Source organism: Homo sapiens, chromosome 16 (assembly GCF_000001405.40).
Source record: "Homo sapiens chromosome 16, GRCh38.p14 Primary Assembly".
Lineage (NCBI taxonomy): Eukaryota > Metazoa > Chordata > Mammalia > Primates > Hominidae > Homo > Homo sapiens.
Genome location: NC_000016.10, coordinates 85,647,112 through 85,671,774, shown reverse-complemented (window position 1 = coordinate 85,671,774; position 24,663 = coordinate 85,647,112). Strand labels below are relative to the sequence as shown.

The 24,663-nt window shown below is 58.2% G+C and overlaps 1 protein-coding gene and 1 pseudogene across 30 annotated transcripts in view, besides 2 other annotated features; both read right to left on the bottom strand.

The window, feature by feature from the left end:
- GSE1 (Gse1 coiled-coil protein) overlaps positions 1–24,663 on the bottom strand; it is a 506,689-nt gene that overhangs the window by 4,426 nt on the left and 477,600 nt on the right. For 24 of the 30 annotated variants that reach the window (XM_005255859.6, XM_005255861.6, XM_011522965.4 and 21 more), the window contains 13 exons: positions 23,024–23,223; positions 17,325–17,497; positions 16,784–16,981; positions 15,858–16,049; positions 15,110–15,432; positions 14,171–14,498; positions 10,010–10,629; positions 8,682–8,794; positions 8,161–8,431; positions 6,647–6,760; positions 5,428–5,799; positions 3,351–3,635; positions 677–780 (listed from right to left, as the gene is read on the bottom strand). In XM_005255859.6, coding sequence (XP_005255916.3) covers positions 677–780; positions 3,351–3,635; positions 5,428–5,799; positions 6,647–6,760; positions 8,161–8,431; positions 8,682–8,794; positions 10,010–10,629; positions 14,171–14,498; positions 15,110–15,432; positions 15,858–16,049; positions 16,784–16,981; positions 17,325–17,497; positions 23,024–23,223 — 3,293 coding nt within the window. Of the gene's footprint in view, positions 1–676; positions 781–3,350; positions 3,636–5,427; positions 5,800–6,646; positions 6,761–8,160; positions 8,432–8,681; positions 8,795–10,009; positions 10,630–14,170; positions 14,499–15,109; positions 15,433–15,857; positions 16,050–16,783; positions 16,982–17,324; positions 17,498–20,721; positions 21,359–23,023; positions 23,224–24,663 lie in introns of those variants that run through there. The other 6 variants (XM_005255860.4, XM_047433827.1, XM_047433832.1 and 3 more) reach the window with 2 other exon arrangements.
- Positions 510–683: a silencer, noted in NCBI's record as "fragment chr16:85704698-85704871 (GRCh37/hg19 assembly coordinates)". NCBI's record gives its function as "represses an EF-1alpha promoter that drives an FKBP-Casp9 reporter gene in an ReSE screen in K562 erythroleukemia cells {active_cell/tissue: K562}" and the evidence as "EXISTENCE:reporter gene assay evidence [ECO:0000049][PMID:32094911]".
- Positions 12,100–12,397, bottom strand: RN7SL381P (RNA, 7SL, cytoplasmic 381, pseudogene; annotated as a pseudogene).
- Positions 19,475–20,376: an enhancer, noted in NCBI's record as "H3K27ac-H3K4me1 hESC enhancer chr16:85685005-85685906 (GRCh37/hg19 assembly coordinates)". NCBI's record gives its function as "activates a minimal SCP1, AML or CMV promoter by ChIP-STARR-seq in primed H9 embryonic stem cells {active_cell/tissue: H9 hESC(primed)}" and the evidence as "EXISTENCE:reporter gene assay evidence [ECO:0000049][PMID:30033119]".

Sequence of the window (24,663 nt, the reverse complement as noted above, 5' to 3'; positions counted from 1 at the left end):
CTTCTCTAATAAAACCCTGCTGCTCTCCTCAGCAAATCACGGTAGAGGAGACTGATACAGGCAATAATTCATTCTACAAACAGCATCCCTACCCTTCCAGGATCGATATTCTATAAGTAAATCCTAGATAATCAACTGGTGTCTGAATTTACCCCTTCAGGAGACAGTGGTCTTGCTCTGTCAACCAGGCTGGAGTGCACTGGTGTGGTCAGAGCTCACTGCAGCCTTGAACTCCTGGGCTCATGTGATCCTGCCTCAGCCTCCCAAAGTGCTGGGATTACAGGTGTAAGCCATTGCATGCAGTCCAAATTTTGATCTTTTTTTTTTTTTTTTTTGAGACGGAGTCTCGCTCTGTCGCCCAGGCTGGAGTGCAGTGGCGCAATCTCGGCTCACTGCAAGCTCCGCCTCCCGGGTTCACGCCATTCTCCTGCCTCAGCCTCCCAAGTAGCTGGGACTACAGGCGCCCGCCACTACGCCCGGCTAATTTTTTGTATTTTTAGTAGAGACAGGGTTTCACCGTTTTAGCCGGGATGGTCTCGATCTCCTGACCTCGTGATCCGCCAAATTTTGATCTCTTAAGAGCACATTTCCTCTCTGAAACTTATCTGCATGGGTGTTTCTGAACCCAAACTCAAAAGGTTGCGTGTTTGAAGGTTTCCATCCCTTCCCAACTCACCGCCACGCTGTGGGAGAGCTGCTCTGCCGTCAGGCTGAGGCTGTAGTGCCGGGCCTCCAGTCGTCTACATTGTGTCTGTAACACCTGCCGCTCCAGATTTTGCTCTGAAAAGACAGGAGATGGTGATGTATTTTCCGTATGCAGGAGCCCGAAGGCCCGCTTTGTGCTCTCCTCTTCACACCCTGCCCAGCAGAGCCCAAAACCTCTCTCCAGTGCAGCCAGCGAAGGCCTCTCCTGTGGACCACAATGCTCCCAGCCCTTTGAATTGTACCGATAAATACATAAACGTCACTAAATTAAGCCCAATACACAGGAATAAAGACAAAGGATCCAGGACCTAAAGGCAATTTGATACAGATTAGGAAGAAATTTGATGGCCTTAAAATGCAGCTTTCAAAAAAAAAAAAATAGGCTTTCAGTTTAGGCTGCTGGAAAAAGGCCAGAGTACACCTAAAGCACAGATTTAATTAATAAAATAAAGCCTCTGCTCTACCAAAAGATACCAGGCCTAGTTTCAACAGGAGAGTGACTTCACATCTTTCAGGACAAATCCCTACCTTATACACAGTGTTTCAGCAAATGAAAAACAGGGAAAGTGCTCACAATCTGGATACCAAAGTACAATAAAACTAGAGTCTAATACTAACGAACATACATTAAAAATCCTAAAAGTACTAACAAATTCAACAAGGATGGAGCAACATCAAGAAAAAAAAAATCAAAGGATGAAAAACTCCGGAAATGGGAACCTTCACTCTTTAATGGGATGCTTTAAAGTTTCACAGACAAGGGCCCCACCAGTGCCTCTCTTTGGCAGCACTGGAGTGACAAGACAATCAGACAAATTCAAAAGGAAAGAACCAAACCTTGTATTTGCAGGTTTGATCATCTGTGATTCCTCTGATCTAAGGAATAATCACAGGCAACACAAAAATCCAAAGACCCCCAAAATCTATGTGATACCTGAAACTAAATCTAGTCAAAACTTCACGTCCAAAAATGATGTAATAGTTTTGTACCATATTCATGGAAAAGGATGCCAACCACGCCTGTAAATTCAATGCAACTGAAAATCTAACAGGACTCTTTGGGGTGAATATAAGGCGATCCTAAAATCCTTAGGGGAAAAGTCCTTGGGGGAAAGCCATGGGCTAAAAACAGCTGAGCGGTAGCTGAGAGAAGAGGGGGTCAGCGCAGGTCATGCCTGACAGGGGCGAAGCCAGGCCCAGCAGGTGTGGGAGTGAGGCAGGGAAGAGGGCACCCCACACATTGCCAGGACAACTGGTTGGGTGGGAAAGGTACAGTTAAGATTTCTGCCTTACTCTGTACACACACATGAATCCTACGCAGAACAGGAAAAAGCCAAACTCACAGAAGAAAATACAGAAGAATAGCCTGACAGCCATGGGGTATGGAAATAATTCCCAACACCACACCAAAAAACCTACAAAACCAGCAAAGATGGAAATATTTCATCTAGGAGAGTTAAAAATCACTGTGTATTGCTTCTGGATATATACGAGTGCACTAAAAGAATGGCAACATGTAGGGGGTGGTGCGCAATAAACTCAAAGATTCCACGGGAGGAGGAAAGGAAACAAAATACGGGATTTGATGTCCTGGTTGTGGCTACATGGGCGTTTGTTTTTAGTTTGGAGAATACTTTTCCTGACTGAGTTCTACCAGGAGAAAAAAGAAAAAAACTACTTTTCTAAGTATTTGAAGTGGCTGACATTCATAATCAAGTCTTTGTGTTTGATGATATTTACAACACTGTCATATGTGATGATAAAGAGTCCTCTAGGACATGTTAAATCAATTACAGGTGGCTGTGGCCCAGCCCAGCTTTTGTCAAAGCGCATACCCAGCAGTGCCCACGCAGTAAGGATGGTGAGTGCAAAATGAAGGCTGGGTACCTCTGCTGTTCCCCAAAGGGGCCTGTGCAATATCCTAGGGAAACTGAGGCACAGAGGCAGAAGGTGGTGTGCAGTATACAGGAGCATCAAATGCTGCAACGCCCAACTTCGTGGCCCCACTCCCTGGCAGGGGAGATGTGGCCTGAGTCCGCCTGGTGCTGTGGCTTCCCAGGAGGGTTGGTGTGTGCATTCCCAGGTGGGATCAAAACATCCTGGGTATTCTGAGAGGCGGCAAGCCTTCGACTAAGCCTTTACCAGGAGCCTGTCTTTTTAGGCAAAGTGCTTGGCTAAAGTAAAGGCAGCTGAAAACATGACTGGCACCCACCGGCCACAGAGCAATCCTTGCAGTGTGGGGAGTCTGTCACTAGGCAAGAGGCATGCTGGAGCAGTGACCAGGCCTAGCTGCCAGGGCTCAGCAAATCAACCAACTAGGTTGTCTCCCAGGACCCTTACACGAAGCTGAGGCCGACATCAGCACTGATGCAGCCCACAGAGCAGGGCCCACATAAAGAATGACAGGTGCCACCAGAGCTGGCATCATGGTACTTGGATGCCCTAGCAAGACTGGCCTCAGGTTCCAGCATGGGACATCACCGCTACCAGAAGCCGGAAGAAACTTCCAGTATTCATATCTACTGTGCCCCAGGACGGAGAAACAGTCCCCAGGCTGGCAGAGGTCTGCATGAACTCATCACTCAGCTTCCTTTCCAAAGGTACTTTCCTGACCCCCTCCCCCCTCTTCCCCAGCACCCCCTTACCTTCTATGTGTTCCTGGTAAGCTTCAAAAACGGCCTCGATCCCTTGCCACTTGCGCTTGGGGACTTCCTCCTCATCTTCTCCATCTTCATCATCCTCCTCTTCCTCCTCCTCCGAGTCCCGGTCCAACTCCTGGGTTGGGGGGCCCTTCCTTGCAGTGGGGGGCTCCTGCTGCCCATTGTGCTGGGGTGGAGGGGCGCGGCTGGAGGACTGCAGCTCAGGAATGTTGTAGTGGACGGACGTGTCAACCTTGTGGTTCTGCTCTGCAGACAGCACAGCCACGCTCCCTGTGGAGGGGACAGGGCTTGCATCAGTGTGTTGGGGGAAGGGACACAGGGTGCTGTCTCAGAAGGGAGCTCTGCTCTGCCCTTGGTGCAGAGTCAACATGACTGCAGGGCTCCGGGGACCAAGATGACATCGCGTAGAGAGGAGGGACCTAGCCCAAGGCCTCTGGGCCACTTGAGAAAGTCCGAGACAGCCAGGAGACAACGCAGCCCTGAGTGCTAGTTGATTCTGGTACGTGGACCATTTTTGTTGGAATTCATCTCTGAGACTCCATTTTTTGTTTTGGCTGCCCTCAGTCCTCTGGGTAGCAGGCTGGAGAGAAATGGCGTGATCTCGGCTCACTGCAACTTCCCCTCCCAGGTTCAAGCAATTCTCCTGCCTCAGCCTCCGGAGTGGCTGGAATTACACGCATGTGCCACCATGCCCAGCTAATTTTTGCATTTTTAGTAGAAACAGGGTTTCGCCATGTTGGCCCAGGCTGGTTTCAAACTCCGGACCTCAGGTGATCTGCCCGCCTTGGCCTCCTAAAGTGCTGGAATTACAAGCGTGAGCCACTGCGCCCGGCTGCCTCCATCTCTTTGAGCTTGGTCTATAGTCAGCCCTCAGCAGACACCAGCCCATCCTCTCACAAGGCGTGGCTGTTTTGATCCCTAGGCATAATGGGGCTCTGCCCTCCCCCAGGAATCAGCCTCATTGTGCCCCGTTTCAAGAGGGCATGCCCTGTCTCATGGCGTGGCCTGGTGGGTGACATCCTCAGGAGCACACCTGGCCTCCCGTGGGGATGGCAGCCCCTGGTGGGGCCTGAGACCAGCCCAGTCAATGGAGTGACTTGGCTCAAACTGGTATGGCAGAGTGACTAAAATCTAGAGGAAACAGTTTAGTGTAAGGCCAGGACAAGGTCAGAATAAGGCAGAAAGTGTCCTAGGGCCACAGAAAAGCCTCTACAAGGTGCACTGCCAAAGGGCAGGGAGGGAGGGTATTCTGAAGTTTCGAAAGGCATCTCAGTAGCACTGTATAGTCTCCCTTGGTATCTGTCATGGAGAACTGGCTCCAGAACCTCCTGTGAATACCAAAAGCCAGGGATGTTCAAGTCCCTGATATAAAGTGGCATAGTATCTGCGTATCACCTATGCACACCTCTAGAGTACTTGTAATACCTAACACAATGCCTACACTTGACTTGATTTGCATGGATTCAATGTAGTACCTGGTGCTTGGCAAATTCAAGTTTTGTTTTTGGAACTTGGTGGAATTCCACCCCACCCACAAATATTTCTAATCTGAAGCTGGTTGAATCCAAAGACGCGGAACCCACGGATCCAGAGGGCTGGTGGTGACATCTTTAGATACCACCATGAAGGAAGGGAAGCTCTACCCTGAGGACTGGCGGCCATCTGCATCTCTGTCTTGAAAAACATGATTCTTTCAAATGAATGCGGGTAAAAATCCACTCAAGTGCTCTTCCTGCCTTTGGGGAATCTTTTAATCTCTGCAAAAACCAATGCCTGTCGGCGTTCACTCCTTTACCTCTTACCGATCGATGCGTCCCTGCTCACAGCACAGCGTCAGCGCTGGTGCCTACAAACGTTTCTCACCTACGAGTTCAGGTTTTAGAGCTTGGAGATAAACAAACAAACATGGTTTTGGCATAATAACGAAATTATTTTCTTCTGGTGATTGGAGTTTATAAAAACTTGTGCCCACGGCTGAACGGCTGAGCAGCTGTGGCGCTCAGCAACTTTGGTCAGCCTCAACCACAGCCGAGAGCTGAGCAGGGACTGGCAGCCTCATTACCTTTATGCTTCTGCAGGGCCTTCTGGGTGGACTGCAGCACTGACTCGTGGAACTGATGTGCAAACTCTTCTGCCACAAAGGGCTCCCACGGCTTGCTCTTCCCATTGGTGCTGTGGGACAGCGGCACAGGAATGTCCTTGGGTGCAGCGCCCCGGATATAGTGAAGCATGCTCAGACTCTTTTTGCCTCCAGGGGCCTCGCTCAGCCTGGCCTTCTCCCCGCTGGCAGGAGCTAGCTCCTGGACTCTCGACAGCTCCTGGGGCCGGACCTGTTCCAGCTTCCCAGGCTCCGCGGCCTTTGGGATGTCAGACAAGGAAGCAGCAACACCAACCGGCTTCTCCACATCCAGAGAGGCTTGCTGCGTGGCTGGTTCTTTTAGAGACAAAGTGAAGGAAAATATTAAGAAATGCAAGTTAACAGGCTGAGTGTCCAGCACGCAGATCCTGGTCTCTAGAGCTTACACTTAACAAAGACCTAGCGCAAAGAACCAAGACCCGGGGAACATTTAAGTAACCGCCGCGCACATGGCTATTCTCTGAAGACAGTGGGGTGTTTAGTGGCAAGTCCATCCTTGAAAGATGTCCCAAGAAGGAAGAAGCAGATCCACAGGAAGAAGGAAGTCCCCCAGCCACGGAGGCAGCATGGAGGTATTCAGTCCAACCGGACAAGAGAGTGTGTGAGGGGCCGAGGACTGGGACGCACTGTAAAGATTCCCTCTGACATCTGACAGGGCAGAGGCCAGCCAGAACTGTAAGAGGAGGAAAGGTGTGGCGGCAGGTGCCGGCAGGGCCCAGAGGGCAGAGTGAGGAAGACAAAGAGCAGGAAGAGAGCCAGGGCGGCTAGGCTAGTGGCAGGACCAGGCTGCGGGCACTAAGGCTGGAGCACGCCCTCCCTCCTGGGATGGTACCATTGGATTGGCCTCCATGTGAGCCTCTGTGCCGTAACTGAAGGACAACGGTTACTACGACCATAGTGACCAGCACGTAGAGCTCCACAGAAGCCAGACCCTCCCCTCAACTCTGAGCCCGCCTTCAAACTGACGTTCCGTCCCAATGACTGTCACAACTGTGCAAGAATCGTACGCTGGTACAAGAATGGAAGAAGACAGCCTGCAGGAGGCCACATTCACAATGATGAAGACCTCGAGTGGTCGCCTCTGAGCCTGGGCAGCCCATGGGATGGTCCTGGGTGGTGGCAGGTGGGGCTATCCTTCCCTTACCACTCAGGGAGACGGCAGGACTGTCCCTCGGAGAGTTTGTCAAGGAGTCGGCCACTGCTGCTGACAGTGCCTTCTGCTTCATGGCACGGAGCATTTCAACAAGTCTCTCTTTGTCTATGAGAAAAGCAGCCTGAGATTAACGAGCCAGTTGCATCATTTTTTGGAGAGAAGGACAGCGGGATTCTAGCCGAGCCTTGAGGGGCAGGCAAAGCACTAAAGCCCGAAAAACCAAAAGCAGGTGTGATGGGGCAGGCCCAGTTGAAAGGAAGCAACCATCTCAAAGCGAGCCCAGATTGCTCTCGGCATCCACTACACAATGTCCTAGACGTGCTCCAAAGACAGCTGTCCGTGCGGTGACGACGCCTCTGTGAATCACTGTGCCCACGGACCTCGGTGGTGACGTGCGAGGATGTATTCTTATTTCAAGTCAGACAAGGTGGCCCCAACACAAAGAAACACCCCAAAGACCCAGGCCTGGCCTCTGAGGCAGGGTGCCTTCTCCCCCACTCCTACCATTACTGCCACTTCCTGAAGGGGAAAGATGACCCCACGATGTTCCACGCAGCAGATCCCTGATGTCACCCGGCCCTTCTTGACTGTGAAACTCAAGGGCTGCATCGCCCTTAATTTTTTTTCCTCCAAAAATTCAGGGAAAAAGATGCTTTGTATCTAGGGAACTGGGCTGGCAATCAACACGTCACTAGCCCGCTAAGAGAAAGGGAAAACTACTGACTGGTTAAAAGGAGAAAGTAAACGGCTACACCCTGATCAACACCTTGAAGCTGCTCAAGGTCCAAGAAGTAACTCTGCTTTCCTTCGACTTTCTCCCAGAGAGGAGGCCAGGGGCCCACGAGGACTTGAAAGCGTGCGTAAGGGGCAGGGCCAGGAACGTCAACATCTGGGCACCAAGCCAGCCTGCGCTGCAGGCCAAGGAAGCCAAAACCCTGAGCAGGTGTTGTGGCTGCGTTGTTTCTTCTGCTATATGGATTCGAGCCCAGAGGGTCTGTCCCAATGTGGCCCTGTGTGGCCAGACTGAACTGGAAGCATCTTTCAAGGCAAGCCATCTGCTCAGTGTGTGCTGCCCTGCTTGGCAGCCCTTCCCCAGGCCTCCGGCCACCAGGACACAACACCCAGCAGACCACCTAAGCGGTCCAGCAAGAGGAAAAGCCTGCAGCAGACAAACCTGGAACACCTGGCACCTCCCCTCACGCCTGGTGGTCACTGGAGCACTCGGCTCAAAGAGCGCCTTCTCGGGCGCTGGGAGATGGATGAGTGACATGGGTAGTCCTCAGGTCAAGATGGTGGGGCTCTCAGAGCAAAGCCTGTCAGGTAAGGCTGCTATGGAGGGCTTGTAAGAACAGAGAGGCTGTTCCCGGGAGCCGGGAGGAGTAAAGGGGCAGCCTCAGGCTCAGTGATCGCAGATCCTGCCTGGAGTCCACCGGCCCCACCTGCTGCTTCAGAAACCCACTTCCACCCCAGTGAGCCCCCACCTTCCTACCCAGGCGAGGCCCTACCTTTCCTCTTCTCAGCGCTGATGTGGGTCAGGTTGAAGATGGTCAGGAACTTCTTCTTTTCTTCGAAGTTGGGACTGTTGTTCATCTCATCAGGGCTGTAGCGGGTAGACAGCGCCAGTCTCGGTGAAGGCGTCTGCCGCTTGCTCTGAATTGTTGGGGGCGACGGGCTTCTCTCTCGCAGCATCCTCCGCCGCTTCCTCCGCTTCTGGGCCACCAATTCCTCCTTCTGCTGTTGGGTGGTCAAGCCAAAAAGTTGCAAAAACTCTAGCTTCTAGATTGGGAAAGAAAACAAATGAGTTTGAAGCCACTGGCAGTGGTATGCTTGCACTGTCCCGGGGTCCCCTCCTGGGGTCCTCGAAGTGTGGGCCGTAGCTGGCTGCGCCTGGTGGGAGAAGAGCTTCATGGGGCGAACCCGCCAGGACTTCGGAGGAACCTAGCAACAGTGGGGTGGACTGCAGGGTGTGGACGCTAGGAACGAGAGCCCAGCCCAGAGCATGTCCGTGGGGAGGAGAGCCCAGTACCTCAGAGGACGTGTCCAGTTTGAGGGGCGGCTGCTCGGCCACGCAACGGAGGTGGGCCCTGACCTCCTCCTCATCGCTCTCGTCGTAAGAGTCATCGAGGTCGTAGTAGTACCCTGATGGAGAAATGGTTGTATTCAGCCAGACAAAGAGCCTTCATCTGTCCAGTGGACATGCCCGCAGGGCCTCATGTGTGCAGAGCACCTATCAGGCCAGGCCTGCTGGCACCTGAACACCCTGAAGGCCAGTTCCTTTCAACCGAGGTGGAAACCAACATTAACCCAGTCCTGGGGCTTTGCAGGACCGCAGACACCAGGCTTCCCTGGGATCCATGGCTCCCAGTAGCTGGGTGGTCCCCTGGGCTGACAAGACCTCCCTCCTCCCCCTGGCAGGGAACCATTCATCACACAGGCCTGGGGCTGTGTCCACGGCAACACAGGGCTGCTTGTGCACATGCACTCCCCCATGCTGTGGCCATCTGAGTCCATCTCCTGGGAGGAGACAGGCACACACAGGCCTGAGCTCTCTAAGACACAGAGAACAATAGCAGAGCCCCTGCCCAGGGGCGCTGGGGTATCTCCCTCCTCCTTTACAAAGTGAGTAGGGGAGAGAAATTTGGCTGGGCCCTCCATCCAGCCTAGACCAACAACCAGGAAGACCGCCTGTGCCCCAGCTTCTATTGAAGAGGAGGCTGAGCTCAGCACTGGACAGGACCTGAGTGTTCAGCATCAGGAAGAAAACTGGGCTGGAGCCCCTGCTCCCCTCTGCACACTCTCGCCTGCTCGGTTGCTCTTCCTGGCTCTCTGGAGAACTCAGGGAGCCGCTGGCTGAGGACGCCCCACCCCCAAGCAGAAATAAGAATGAAGTGCCTGACCTCCTACCCTGACCCGGGGCAGTGCCAGCCGCCGCGTCCTCAACCCCTGACCCACCTGCTGCAGCTCGTGGCAGCGGCCCTGTATGTGGAGCCCCCGCTGAGCCCAGGCCGGCTCTCCTGTTATGCTGCACTATTAATATTTAAAACTATCTTATTAGCCTCCGCTCATCACTTATTCATCATGCTTGTCTGCGGAACTATCTTCACAGGCGGGCTTTGATTTGGCTTTTTGGGACAATTTGCATCGAGGCAGGACAGGCACGGGGACTAGGGTCTGCCTCCCCTACGAGGGTGTCATGCTGCTACAAAGAAGCCAGTGCACTTGCCACCTGGGGCCTGGGACTACCCCAGGCAAAAAGCAGGAGTGGACGGAGAGGGGCAGGTGGCTGGCATGCAGGCTCCCCATCCCCACTGTGCGGCTCTCCCTGAGCAGCTCGGGGCCCGCGGGGAGGCAGACCTTTCTCCTGGGCCTCCCGCCGCCTGCGCTCCTCCAGGTCCAGCTTGCTGACCAGCCTCCGGCGCTGCTGCAGGAACTCATCATAGATGTAGGCAGGGTCGGGGGCCCGTGGCACTGGGGGCCGGTAGGGCGAGCCAGGCTTCAGGGGTCCGCTGAGCTCCCCGAAGGTGGCCGCCTGTGGGAGGGAGGCCCGCTGCTGGCCCAGGATGGTCTGGGTGGACTTCTCGAGCTCAGCCAGGAAGGGCCCGGGCCCGGGCAGGAAGGGCTGGTGCTCCAGGCTCCCTCCCTCTCGTGGTGGCGGCGGAGGTGGCTGGTACTTGTCCAGAGGGGCAGGCTCACGCTTCCGTGGCCCCTCCTCTGCTTTCTCCGGGCAGAAGACCCGCTCCACCTTCACCAGCGGCACGGCTGCCTGGCGGCTGGGCTCAAATGCAGCCGGGTGGCTGTGCAGAGAGTGGCTTTCGGCCCGCCGCGTCTCCAAGGTGTTGTCCATCAGGGACACGGGGTTCCAGAGGGCCGTGGGTGCAGCATGGAGCTGGGGCTTGGGCGAAATCAGAGGTGGTGGCCCCCCAAAGTGCTGCGGAGGGTCACGGCCACCTGGCTCGTGACGGTTTGGTCCTGGCCTAGGGAGTGAAACCAACCCTTCAGTCAGGGAGAAAAGACCCTTCAGTCATCCACAGGCTTCCCTGGCTGCCTGCCGCTCCTAAGATGACACAGATGGCGCAGCCCCTTAGAGAGCCAGTGCCAACAGGGCTGCAGGGAGGGGACACACACTCCACCCCAAGGATCATTGTTTCTGTCTTTCATTTTCTCTTTTCCTTTCTTTTCTTTAAAGACTCGGCCGGGCGCAGTGGCTCATCCCTGTAATCCCAGCACTTTGGGAGGCCGAGGAGGGTGGATCACAAGGTCAGCAGTTTGAGACCAGCCTGGCCAACATGGTGAAACCCCATCTCTACTAAAAAATACAAAAATTAGCCAGGCATGGTGGCGGGTGCCTGTAATCCCAGCTACTCCAGAGGCTGAGGCAGGAGAACTGCTTGAACCCAGGAGGCAGACGTTGCAGTGAGCTGAGACCGTGCCATTGCACTCCAGCCTAGGCGACAGAGCAAGACTCCGTCTCAAAAAAAACAAAAAAAAAGACTCACTCTGTCACCCAGGCAGGAGTGCAGTGGGGCAAGCTCAGCTCACTGCAACCTCCGCCTACCAGGTTCAAGCGCTTCTCCAGCTTCAGCCTCCCGAGTAGCTGGGATTACAGGCGTGTGCCACCATGCCCAGCTACTAATTTTTCCTATTTAGTAGAGATAGGGTTTCACCAAGTTGGCCAGACTGCTCTCGAATTCCTGACCTCAAGTGATCCACCTGCCTTGGCCTCCCGAAGTGCTGGGATTACAGGAGTGAGCCACTGTGCCCGGCCCTCCAACACCTGCGGCAGGTGTGTGCAGGCTGCTCCAAGAGGATAGGGAGGCTCCCAGCCTAAGCTGCTAGGGAAGGCAGAGACCCTCTCAGGCCTGGGACAGATCCAGTTTCGGTCGATTTTCCCACCTGCTTGCGTGAATTCCCCTAAGGGCAAGCGCTCATCCGCACTTTCCATGGGGAAACCCACTCTATATACTGGGCTGTGGCCCTGCCACCAGCACCCTCTCCTCCTGCTGTGCCTTGTAGGGACACATGACACAGGGCAGGCTGGCCACCTTCACAGGGCAGTACTCCTCCCTCCCCACTGTCCCCGCAGGCAGCCACAAGACAACCTTCCAGTGTCTGCCCAGCCAGAGCCAAACCCACTGTGAAATGAAGATCCTCCCAGTCAGGATGGGGCCTGTGCCGAGACTGCCCCCCAGTGGCCCCTGTCACAACTGCAGCGACCCCACTGCCCAAGTGGCCTGTGGCAGAGGCCTCAAAGTGTCTTCAAGGACCCAGGCTAAGGCCTGCTGAGGCAGGGAGGGAAAGAAGGGATTTCTAACATCAGAACCCTTCCATTAAACAAGAAGCTGCCCCTTAGTTACACTAAATGGCTTGTTTCCTCAGTGCAATTAAAACAAGATTTAATCTACTCACAGGGCTATTTTTAGTATTGTTTTTCCAGCTTATTTTTAAGAGATGGGTCTCGCTGTGTTACCCAGGCTGGAGTGCAGTGGCTATTTACAGGAGCAATCCCACTACTGATCAGCGCGGGAGTTTTGACATGCTCCATTTCCGACCTGCCCTGGTTCACCCCTCCTTAGGCAACCTGGTGGTCCCCCGCTCCCAGGAGGTCACCATATTTGTGCTGGACTTAGCTGGGACACCTAGTGGGTATAGTACACTACAGCCGAGAACTCCCGGGCTCAAGCGATCATCCCATCTCAGCCTCCAGAGTAGTTGGGCCTACAGGCATGTGTCACTGTGCCTGGCTATCTTTCTTTTTTTTAAAGGGAGATATACTCACAGGATGTCTGGACCAATACTGTGCAGAGACCCTGGGCAAAGCTTGAGGGGAAGAAAGAGGCAGAGGCCACAGCAGGCACACGGCCGGGCTCAGGGATCTCTAGCCTGCCCCGGGAGCCCTGTTTAAACACAGCCACCAAGGCTCTCCCTAGTTATTCCAGACTCCAGGCCAAGGGACAAATCCGACGCTGCTGTCCCTCTTAGCAGAATACAACAGGGAACCACAGGAAGAAGCTGTGTCCTTAAGTAAACAGCAAGGGAATGAAACCTGCAGGAGAATAAATATTTCATGCGCCACACCAAGCACTGAACAGTTTTCTAGCTTGGAGCATGAGGGCCCTGTCAGGCCCCCAAGTTCACAATGCTGTAAGGCCACGTGTGCAGCCGGCCACAGGGGAACCACCGCAGCCAGGGGAGGCCAGGCCCTGCTTCCCATCATGCCCCAGGTCCGGATGGGGCAGCTACACTGGCTGGAAGCAGTCCATGGGTGGGCAAAGTCACAACACCTGTGCTGGGGCCCTGGGGAGCCCTGAGGAAGAAGATGCCTACAGGAGTCAGGGCACCCTGATGTTATCAGGCCATGCCAGGTAGGAGCTGGCTGCCCTCAGTCCTCTGGGTAGTAGGCAAGGCTGAGCCTGAGAGGCCTCAGGGACGGGGGCTGGGAGAGGCAGAAGGGATCTCACTTCGGCCGTGCCGGGCAGTGTGAGCCACAGGGAGACTTAGCTGTGGCCTGGTGACAGTCACTCCCAGTCATCCCTGATCAGCGGGGGCGCATTCCCTCGCTGCCCTACTGGATAACGGAGGCAGGCAGAAGGGAGGACAGATTTTAAACCACCAACACGCTTCCGTCCCAGAGCCCAAGGGTTTCTTATCCCAGGACAGCATCACAGCCTTGAGAGCTGGAAAGATGCTCAGAAATCATCCTACCCACCCTCCTTTGTGGACAGTTGAGGAAAGTGAGGCTCAGGGAACAGAATCAGTGTCCCTAGGTCCCTGAGCTGGGCCTGGAGCAGAGCTATGGAAGGCTGGCAGGTCATTCCCACCAACTCTGGCTGAGGATCTTAGCTCAGCCCTTCAGAGTGAGCCCTGGGGGTATATGACGTGGGGGCCTGGGACCAGCACAGCCCCAAGGCAGGAATCCCAGGGCAGGCAGGGGCAGGGAGGACTGGGGGCACTGGGGCCCAGCTCATAAGACCTGTGTCTGCAGCCGGGGTCCAAGGGACCACCACACAGTTTCCTGGGAAATGCTTTCATAAAGGGCTAGAAAACGGGCATGTGTTTTTACTATTAATACAAAAGCAATAAAACTCATTTTTTTCCTTAAAATCAAAAGCTGTCCCCTTCTTGTTAAAAAAAGAAGTCCAGGCTCAAAAGCAGAGGAAGATGGAGAGAACAGGTATTATTAGTAATTAAAGCTTCTACCTTGCACTCTTCATCTGCTGTGAATGGCCTCCTGGGAACTAGGTCAGGCTGCGTGTGCAGTGCCCTGGCTCTCAACATGGACTTGATTGGTCTCTTTACTTACTGGTGGGGATACCTTTGAGCAATCCATTTTCTTCCTCAGTCTCAGCTTCCCCATAGGCAAGACAGGCATTATAACGTGAAGATGAAAGAACAGAAATGAAAGAGGCAGGCAGAAACGCTGGGGCAGGATGTTGGGCAAACAGGAGGTGCTCAATACACGCTGAACAAATCGGAACGTGAAGGCTCATCCCTCCTTCCTTCCTGGGGCTCACTCACCTGGTGGTGCTCTCCGGCCTGTGCTCTGCCTCCGCCGGCACCGGGGGCCGGCCCATATCCAGGTGCTGCTCCAGCACCTGCTGCCGGAACTCGGACACCTGAGACTGCCGGTCCTCCTTCTCCTGCCGCAGCCGCCGCTGCCGCGCCAGCCACTTCTCCTCCTCATTGGTGCGCTGGATCAGCAGGGCTGTGGCAGCACTGCTGCTAGGCAGAGAGAAGATGCCATGGTTGGAGATGAGGCTGGGCACCGTGTGGTGTGGGGTGGGCACCGGATGCAAGGGGTGTTGGACGGGCTTGGGCGCCTGCAGGCCGGCATCCTTCAGCTTCTCTGTGGGGGGAAACACGGTCAAGCAGGATCTCAGCCACGTGGGCCAGCATGCTCCCTCCCCGTCCTCTCTCACCCAACTGCCCAGAGAAACCAGAGCCCTTCCAAAGGGTTCTTCCCGCAGCCAGAACCAAGATATTCAGAAGGGGCCCTACGGGAGCTTTCAAGAAGCATGTCTTGTCCCTGGAAGGAAACGCTCCGTGGCTGGCTGGCAAAACTCTTGCCCAGCCAGTGCGGTGCCAGAGCCAGCTCATGCTGGCTCAAAGAGCAGACTATTAAATTTCCGGGAAACATGCAAAAGCTGGTTGTTATTACTGGACAATTGTTTCGTAAACTTACAGAGAAATAAAATCAACGAAGCACTCAAAACATCCCTTCCTAATGCCCCGGCTACATTTCACAACTGTCCTCCTGGGGTCAGCTATATCCACTGTGTCTACATCGTGTGCCAACGTGCCTCTGCTCCCTACTCCATGTTCAGCCACACCACGCTTTTAGGGCGAACTCAGCTGGGGAACATTTACACCACGGCAACCGGCAGGTGCTGCGATTCAGGGCTCCTCCCCGCGGGTGGCTGAGACCTTGCCCAGCACAGCCCACCCACGCCCAGGTACCTGCTCGGGTTGGGGTCAGCTGCTCCGAGGGCTTGCCCCGCTCCTCAGTGGCATGGCCACGCAGCCCATGCAGCTCGGCCACGGGCAGGAAGCTGGGCTCCAGGGCCTTGGCGGCCAGCAGCTCCTTCTCCCGGGCCCGCTGCTCCCGCTGGCGCTCCAGCTCGCGCTCGCGCTCCTTCTCACGCTCACGCTCCTTCTCTTGCTCGCGCTCCTTCTCGCGTTCGCGCTCACGTTCCTTCTCCCGCTCGCGGTCAGCCTCACGCTCACGCTCGCGCTCGCGCTCGCGCTCCCTCTCCCGCCTTAGCTCCTCGTCCATCTGCAGCCTGCAGCACATGGAAAGAGTTGGGGGCTCTGCTGCACCAGGAACAAGAGACGGACCTGGGGCAGGCCCTTAAAAAGCATAACCAGGAACGAGCCAGGGCGCTAATCTGAACAGTGACGGGAGGTGAGCCGGGTTTCACTGGTGCAGGAAGAACTTAAGGTCCATACAATCAAAGCGGCTTACAAAATGCCCAAGCACGCCCGAGAGCTCCTCGGCCTGCAGGTTTACTGCAGGAGACCACGGCTACCGAGACAGGCGCTATTTCAGAGCAGAGCCTGAACGATCATTGTCCCATTTGGCAGGTGGACAAACTGTGAGGACAGGCATGGCCAAGGAGTCCAGTCAGGTTCCAGCCCAGGCTTTCTGCCCAGCTGCCATCAAGGGACAGGGAGGGCAGAGGGGCTCCTCGGCTCGAGACGCACTTACCTCTCCGCGCTGAGGCCAGACATGCGCTCCGAGTGCAGCGCTGCCAGGGATGAGTGGGAGAGCTCGGGAGGGTAGCGGACCCCAGAGAGGTGCAGGTGCATCGCTGATGGGTGCAGTGGGGGCAGGGAGCCGGGGGTGGGGATGGGGTAGAACGGGGACCTCAGGGCAGACAGGCAGTAGGAGTCGTCCATCCTGTGCAGAGAAGACGGGGCTGTGAGCAGCAAATGAACCAAGGGGAAGACCCAGCCCTGTCGACAGGTGTGTCTCAGCCAGGTACACACACCTGCCTGAGCGTGGGGAACGTGACAAAATGGCTGGGGATGAAGACCATGCCTGCTGCTAGCCCCAAAGCCCCTTGATGCCGGAGGCTGCTAGGTGCCGACAGCTTGGGGTTCCAGGGCGCCGCCTGCCACCTCCCTCGGCTCAGCCAGACCAGCACAGAGTGGTCAAGCGCCCAGGCCCTTCCAAGGCTGGCGAGCAGGCTGGGCTGCCCTGACGTGGGGTGGTCCATGACATGACTACAGGCCCCTCTGACCTCTGACAAGGATGGGCAGAGCTTCTCCACGGACCCAGGCCAGACCACAGTGCCACCGAGGTCTCCTGCTACACAGCAAAGCATCGCCTCTCCCACGGGCAAAGCCCTGCTCTCTTAACAGTGACTTGCTGTCAATGGACCCCCCGGTGAGAAGGGGAGGAGCCAAGGATGACAGTACAGTCACCAAGGGGGACTGTCTACCAGGAGGGGACCCCTAATGGGCCATCAGGGCTGAATTTAGGCTCAAAGCTGGGGACGATTTCAGGGGCTACTCTAGACCCTCCCCTAGGAGCCTGGCTCTCAGGTCATAAGAAACACCTTCCCCGCCAGGTTCCATCTTGCCAGGAACAGGCCAGCACCTAGACGAGAGGGCGCGTGGGGGATGCCTCACCTGAAGGCCGGGTGGGGGAAGGGGTGTGGGGCCAGGTAGCTGGGGTGGTAGTAGGCTGCAGCAGTGGCCGGGTCCAGGCCGAGGGGAGGCAGTGAGGACATGCGGAGGTCGTCGGTGGTGTGGTAGGGCCGGAAGCTTCTCAGGTAGTCCTCGGTCACGGTACTGGGGGGCACCACGTGGTGCACGGGCCGCTGGAGGCTGCAGGCGGGGATAGTGGGCAAGGTGGGGACAGGTGAGTGCACACCTGCTCCTGCATGGGGGGACGGCTAAACTCCCTGCATCACCCCTGGCGCTCAGTCGGCACCCAGACTCCTGGCACCCCGAACGAGGACGGGGCTTAAGCAGCGGGGGGAGCGAGCTGCCACTGCCACCTCAGTGTGAAGGGGCACAGACAGGGCTGCAATCCCCAGGGCTCAGCGGCCGACAACCATCTAGCAGGCACAGCCTCATCTGTGCAGACCGCAGGCTGCCTGGGGACCCAGACCCTGAGCACTGTGTCCCCACCTGGCCACCTCACCGAAGTCCCCGCCGACCAACTTACTTGAGTGGCGGGAAGCGGGAATCCTGCACAACTGAGCTGGGGGAGAGGCCGAAGGGGTAGGGGGTGCTGAGCAGGTGCGAGGGGATGGCTGGTCCCCCTGCCTTCTCCTGAGGGAGCGGGGGCTCCACAATGAGGCGTTCCCGACCTCCACTGCTGCTCCTGGAGCCGGCATCCTGCGGGAGGAGAGCGTCCAGTCAGGGCAGGAGCCTGGTATAGGCCACTGACCACAGGACACAGCCAGGTCTCCTGACTCACGGGAAGGCGCTAGATTTAGTTCATGTTCTAGAAACATCCTTTCCCTAAGGCTTTCTACGCAAAACATGGTGCATGTGGTGTGGGAAGCAGAACCGTAAGAAAGGGGATGTGGCTGCGACAGGTCTGGGGTGAAGTGCGTCTCGGGATCCGTCTCCCTCCCTGGGCCTCCTCAGTCCAGCAAAAGAACTAGAACCCCCCAGAAACACAATGTGTGCAGGTGAAGGATGCAGGGTGGCAGGGGCTCCTGCCTCCACCCCTCCTGGTGTGGACATCCGAAGGTCACACCAGACACACACCCGGGGAAGCAGACACCGTTGGCACCCAGCACGCCGTGAAGCGAGTGCCACGATGTAGCCAAGACGTCAACTGCGCCGACAGCTGCCCACCTGGCCGCAGATGTCCTGGCCCTGGTGCCCACGTGGAGGGCAGGGGCAAAGGAAGCTGGCACTGCCCCTGGGCCGAAGGTGCTGGTCTGCCCCCAACCACCTCCTGGGGTGGCCCTGGCCCTGGAGCCCACCAGAACAGGCAGCAGCTGGGCCCTGACTGGCCAGCTGGGGTACCGGCCTTCACACACACGGTGGGGCAGGGAAGGCAACAGCTCGCCTGTCCCAGGCTCCTGGACACAGTGGACCTGGGTGTAGCTGGGAAGGTGGTCCAGAGGACTCAGATGAGGGGTCTTCTCCAGGCACAAAGCAGGAGGAGGCAGTGGCCCAAAGCCCACCTTCCGGGCTGAGGTCCCTGCCAAGTTCAAGGATAGGCCGTGCCACCCCTAGCCACGCAGAGGCTGCCCCGCACACACGCAGGGTCCAGCCCGGAGAAACCAGAGCATGAAAAGGCCTTGCTTGTTCCTGTTATTCGTGTGACTAAGTGGGAGGAGGAGGAGGAGGGGGTAGGAGGAGGAGGAGGGGGTAGGAGGAGGAGGAGGAGGAGGAGGGGGTAGGAGGAGGAGGAGGAGGAGGGGGGAGGAGGAGGAGGAGGGGGAGGGGGGAGGAGGGGGGAGGAGGGGGGCGGAGGGAGCCTCAGGGCGGCCCAGATGGGGGCTGTGCTCTGGACTCTGGATGGCTGCCAACCCAGGCGTCACTCTGTCACTGGGGCAGCCGTTCTCAGCCCCAGCATCTTCCCCATGTGGGGACAGCACTGCCCAGGCCTACCCTGACCTGGGGGTGTCTGAGAGCCATGGCCACGCTGGCCCCTCTGAGCTTCCCAGGGATGCAGAGCCACGGGAACCCGGCCCTTCCTCACGTTCCATCTGGCCATGTCAGGTAACGACTGCTGATCAGCGGGCAGTGCTCCTGAAGAGCACCAGCCCCGCTCTGCCTCCCTGAGCCACGAAATGCCAAACACCCAAAAAACAAGGAGGCCATGGCCGTCTCCCCACAAGATCAGCAGGAATGATGGCCCAGGGGCTCTGAGACCTGCCCCACCGTGGAGAAGCATCTGTCTCCCAGGGGCCGTGCCTGTGTCCCTGACCCGCCAGCCCCTCTTCCTGGGCCCATCCATCTTCATAGCGGCAGACGGTGACCCGGCAGCAGCACATGGCACCCGCGCAGAGGCAGTGCAGGCAGCCCGGGCCGGCGCCTCCCCTCTCTCCACCCTCCAGGAGACAGTCAGCGAGGATTAACTGGAGGAGCCGCCGCCGCCGCCGCCGCCTGGAATCTTCAATGAGAGGCAGCATCTGCTCCCTTCCCGCGGGCTGAGCCCCGGCCCCCCTTCTCTGTAGGGTCCTCCTGGGTTCACGACTTCTGACCTGCCTCTCCAGGGTGCTGGTCTCGAGGGTGGGAGGTACACATGGGCACTGACGCCCTGCGTGGGGCCGGGAACTTCCTATTGAGGAGCCAGCGCCTGGCCTTGGGGTCTCCAGCCGGTGTCAGCAACCGGGGTAGTGGGGGAGTGGCCGAGGGGCCAACCTGACCTTGGGAGACCTGGCCATCCTGTCGTGCCTCGTGCACACATCAATGGCATGTGCCCGTCACGGCACCTGCTCAGAGGACAGCAGAGTTGATGGCACGGCTATGAACGGGCATGCGGGGGACTCACAGGGCAGCAGAGTTGATGGCACAGCTGTGCACGGGCATGTGGGGGACGCACCAGCAGGGTGGGGGCCCGGACATGGCAGGTGTGTTGCCAGGCTGGCCTGCCTACCCCAGCCCCGTGAGGCTATTTCCAGGCTGGGCTTCTAGATCCTGCCTCACGCCCCTACCCTGCCTGGCATAGGGCCAAACATCTGAGGAACGGAGCACGAGGAAGGACACACCCTGTTCCTAGGGTCTGGGATGGACTTAACAAGACGGAGTGGCCCCTGGCCCCCCAGCATCCAAGTAGCACCCCAATGAACACCAGGCCTAAAGCTAGTGGGTCTCTGGATGCCCAGAACAGGGGCCTCGCCTGCTCAGGCACCCGGGGTACCTGGACTCCCCCTCCCAGGCTGGTGGGGAGGCCTCCAGGGCAGGAGGGAGACGACAGCCAGGGGCTTCAATCATCACCCAGCCTTGGGTGGCCAGAGTCAGAAGAGGGCTGGAGGACAGACCTCGACCTGAGGACAGCACCCAGGGTCAAACTACCAACAGCCCAGGCCTGCCGCCCTCCTCCGCATGCTGCCCGCGCCGTGGGCCGGGTCAAACGGCAAAGCACAGGGCCCCAGCCGCCCCGCCACAAGGAGGGGCCTGTCCCCAGCCCAGACACGGCCCTTGAACCCCTTCTCCCCTCAGCCGAGGACAAAGCCCTGCTCGCAGGCCAGATGGCACCTTCCTGGCCTGGCTGAGGACAAACAGGGAGTCCGGGGGGCTGGGGGGCAGCCAGCAGGCGGGGCAGGGGCCCGGCGAGCCAGACCCACATGTCTGTGGCTTCCGTCTGGCTGGCGCCCGGCCAACCCTGGCACAGACACCTGGGAACTAGGTCAGCGGGGCCTGGAGTGAGGCACAGGGCTGCCCCCCATCCAGGCAAGGCCCGGCAGGCTCGGCAGCTACCCCAAAGGCACCCCGATAGCGGCAGCCGGGGTCTCACTGCCGTCTCCACAGACAGACGCATCAGGGCGCATCTGTGGGCAGCTTTTCATTTCTGAGCAGCGGCTGCAGCCGCAGCTGCAACGATGAAAGAAAGAAGGCGGAGGGGGAGGGGGAGGAGGGGCGGAGGGGGAGGGGGAGGAGGGGCGGAGGGGGAGGGGGAGGAGCAAATCCGTCATTCTCCGGTGATTAGAGCAAGGGTTCCATAGTCAGACAGGCGGGACATGCCCTGTTAGCTTTAAAACAGGCTTTTTCATCTCATTTCTCCTCTCGCAGCTCCCACTACACCTGGGAGAGAGGGGTGACCCCGAGAAGGGGCCGAGAAGCCTCCGGCCCGGCAACTGCCACCCACGTCCGCAGCCTCGGAGACTCATGGCCACAGCTTTGGGCCGGGTGGGAGGGGAATCCTCTCTCTGCCTCCCCACTCCGAGAGGATTAAATGCCCCGCTGAGCCTCTGTGCCCGAGCGAGGAGCCGTACATCACCTGCTAATCCAGCTGCCGGCCCCGCGCCTTCCCTGGCGGCACCGTGTTCCATTAAGCGCCGCGGTGGTACACTGCTGGGGCGGGCCTGTCGCGCCCCTGCTCTGCTCTGGGGTAGCTCAATGTTCCCGAGGCGGTAAGGACCCTCCGAGGAGGGACCAGCTCAGAGCGGAGGAGTCGCCGGAAAAGGCGCTGGAATCCCCTCGAGGCGTCCTGGGTCTAGGCCAGGAGCTCTGGTCGGGGTCAAGGCAGTGGCTGGGTGCAGGGTCCTGGCTGGTAGAAGCTCCTGGTCCAGGCTGGGGCAGGGAAGTGGCCTCCCATGAGCTGCGGGCGCTGGCACCAGCAGCCAGGCCCCACCAGTGGGGCGCAAGGAGCCTCAGCTGTTTGAGTCGGGTGATTCAGGGCCCATGGGGTCAAGGCTGGCCCTGGGGGGCGGCCTCTGGAGGCAGCGGAGCTGGTAACAACTCCCTCAGCCTCCCTCAAACCAGGACGAGGGCCGCCTTGGGCTGCTCCAAGCCCTGTGGGGTGTGGAGGCCCCTGTGGCCAGGGTCCACCCTCCAGGCCACGCCCTGCCCCTCGGTCTCCAGACCTCACATGAGGATTAGTCAAACTACGAGAGGCTTCAGGGGCAGAGGAGGTCCAGCAAGGTGAGGACCCTGGGCAGGTTTGTCCCCTCAGCCAGGGAAGGCGTGAAAGGAAGCAGAGGCAACGTCAGGCCCCGGGGGTCCCAGTCCGGAGCTCCCAGGGATTCCCACTGGGACCCTGGATCAGGGCCTGCCCGGGGGCTGTCACCTGTGGACTGAGGCTGGCTCCCTTCCCACACCTCTGGGGATAGAGGGCAGACAGGCCCTGATGATGAGCAGGTGGCTCCAATACCCATGTCCTCCCCTGGGGGAGAGGGAGCTTCAGGCAAGAGTGACTCTCCCCTCCTCCCCACCTTCTTTGTGGTTTAATTAGTATTTCCAAGTGGGGCTGTCCCTCTGGGAACTCAGCAGAAAAGTCCAGGTGACAGCAGCCCCTGAGAATCGCTCTTAATTAGGAAGGGCCCACTCCAGGCTGCGCGCCAGGGGTGGGGGGCCGGGAGAGCTGCAGGTACCCACCTGAGGGCGCACAGGCCCCAGGCAGCGGCAGAAGAGCAGCTCCCAGTGCCAGCTCCTTCCACACAGGCAGGCCCCAGTCAGTGCAGAGCGAGGGGCCCACAGACATAAGGAGCCCCGAAAACTTGGGGAGGGGCCTCCGCTGGGAGCCCCAAAAGTAAGACAGAAACACAAAACCCACCAGATGTCTTGTTCTGATAGCGTCTGGGCTGGGATCTTTCCTACCTCAATTCTTTGTTCAGTTCACAGACTATGACAGTCACAGCTAGTGTGCCGGGTGCTCAGCGTGCAAACACCACTTTCACAGCTTGAACTGGACTGCCACCCCCGCCCAAATCCGTGTTAGAGCCCTGATGCCCAGGGCCTCAGAACGGAACTGCATTTGGAGACACGGTCTTTAAAGAGGTGACCGAATGAGAATAAGGACATTAGGGTGGGCGCTAAACCAGCTGACTGGTGTCCTTATGAGAAGAGGAGATCAGGACCCAGACATGGAGACACCACAGACGACCCAGGGAGAAGGCAGCCACCGGCAACCCAGGAGAGGCCTCTGGGGAAACCAGCCCTGCCGGCCCCCGGATTGTGAACTTGTGGCCTCCAGAACAGGAGAAAATAACGGGACACCCCCAGCGGGTGGTTTCTTCTGACAGACTGATGCGTGGGCCGATGTACTCACCCGCACAGGGCCTCCAGGAGGGTGCCGCTGTCACCCTCACGTTGCAGAGAAGGAGACGGAAACTCAGGGTGGGGGAGGGGGTGTCTGGAATGTAAACTCAACCTCGAAAGCTCCAGAGCCCCCAATGGATGCCTGAATCCAGCCTCCCCACTTAGAGGACGCTAGGCTCCCTGCCCCGCCCCACTCACCTGCCGGCTCTCACTCCTCCAGACACCATTCACGGTTTTGGTTGGAGCGATGGTCACCACGGGGGGGGTGCTGGGCACGCTGTGGCCCCCAGGGGGGACGATGATAGGGCCCATGGGCACGCGCTTGGGTGTGCTGGCGGGGGAGCTGTGGTTGGTGGCCGGAGAGGACACGGGGGACGACTCGCTGCTCAGTGAGGACCCTGTGGAGGAGAAGACGGTGGCCTGAGTGGGAGCCGCAGTGACAGCCACGTGCAGTGCCAGCTGGGGACCTGGGCTCCAGCTGCCCCCCTGCTCCAAGTGAGGCCCCAGACCTCCAGGTCTACCAGCCTCATGGGCCCCCACCCAAGACAGGCAGGCAGGAGACACCTCTCCTGAGGCCCGATCGGGTCAGCAGCTCAGTCTACCCCGGGCACTCCCTATCCCTTTGCCCCACGGGCCCTGCTCACGTGGCACAAAGCACAGATGCTCTGGTGCCCAGGGCCGCCCACCGCCACCAGACAGGAGGAGCCTGGGCAGGGCGGGCAGGACCAGTGCCTGACGTCCCTGAGTGAGAGACGAAGGTAGCACCTTCCGGGACAGACATGGAGCCCCAGAGTTAGAGAACACACGTGTTTCTAGGAGGTGTCATGAACCAAGGGCCTGTGGACATCCCAGGACACACAGGCCAGCTGGGCCACACACCCTGCCCCACCGAGAGGCAGCTCCACGTGTAAGCAGCAGAGACCCCAAGCCTCTGAGTCTTCCCGGGGAGCCCCCATGTGCTTGGGGGGTCACAGGAAAAGGCGCCCCCTCCGGGGGCTCCCATCAAGCAGGGCAGACATGGGGCTGCAGTGCAGCAGGGAACAAACACAAGAAGCGGTCAGCACTGGCCGGGCGCGGTGGCTCCCGCCTGTAATCCCAGCACTTTGGGAGGCCGAGGCAGACAGATCACGAGGTCAGGAGTTCGAGACCATCCTGGCCAACATGGTGAAACCCTGTCTCTACTAAAAATACAAATATTAGCCGGGCGTGATGGCGCGCGCCTGTAGTCCCAGCTACTCGGGAGGCGGAGGCAGGAGAATCGCTTGAACCCGGGAGGCGGAGGTTCTGGTGAGCAGAGATCGTGCTGCCGCACTCCAGCCTGGCGACAGAGCGAGACTTCGTCTCAAAACAAAAAAAGAAGTGGTCAGCACCCCTCTACGGGGCCCAGCCAAGCAGGGATGCAGTGCGGTGGTGGCTGAGGAAGCCCAAATGGCAGCCATTCAGGGTGACCCACGGTGACCCTGGGGGAGTTTCTTTAAAAGATCCATTTATTTTTAAATTTCAGAAAATGAGATATAATTCACCATCTTTAAGGGTACACATCAGGAGGTTTGCCTAGGTTCGCTGTTTACAACCACCACCACGACCTACCCCGGAACTCGCCCGTCGCCTCAGAAAGAACCCCTCAGCCCCCAAAACGCAGCAGGGATGGGAGAATGGGTGGCTGCAGCCCCGCGGGTAGCAGGGGGAGGGTGCAGGGCAGGCAGGAGGGCTTTGGGCCTGGGTGACTGGTGGCTACAGCCAAGAGGATACCCCAAGGACAGGGGGCATGGACGGGCAGGGCCGCCCCGGCCCATCTGCAGGTGCGGCAGGGGTTTGGACCGGGGAGGACGGGGAGG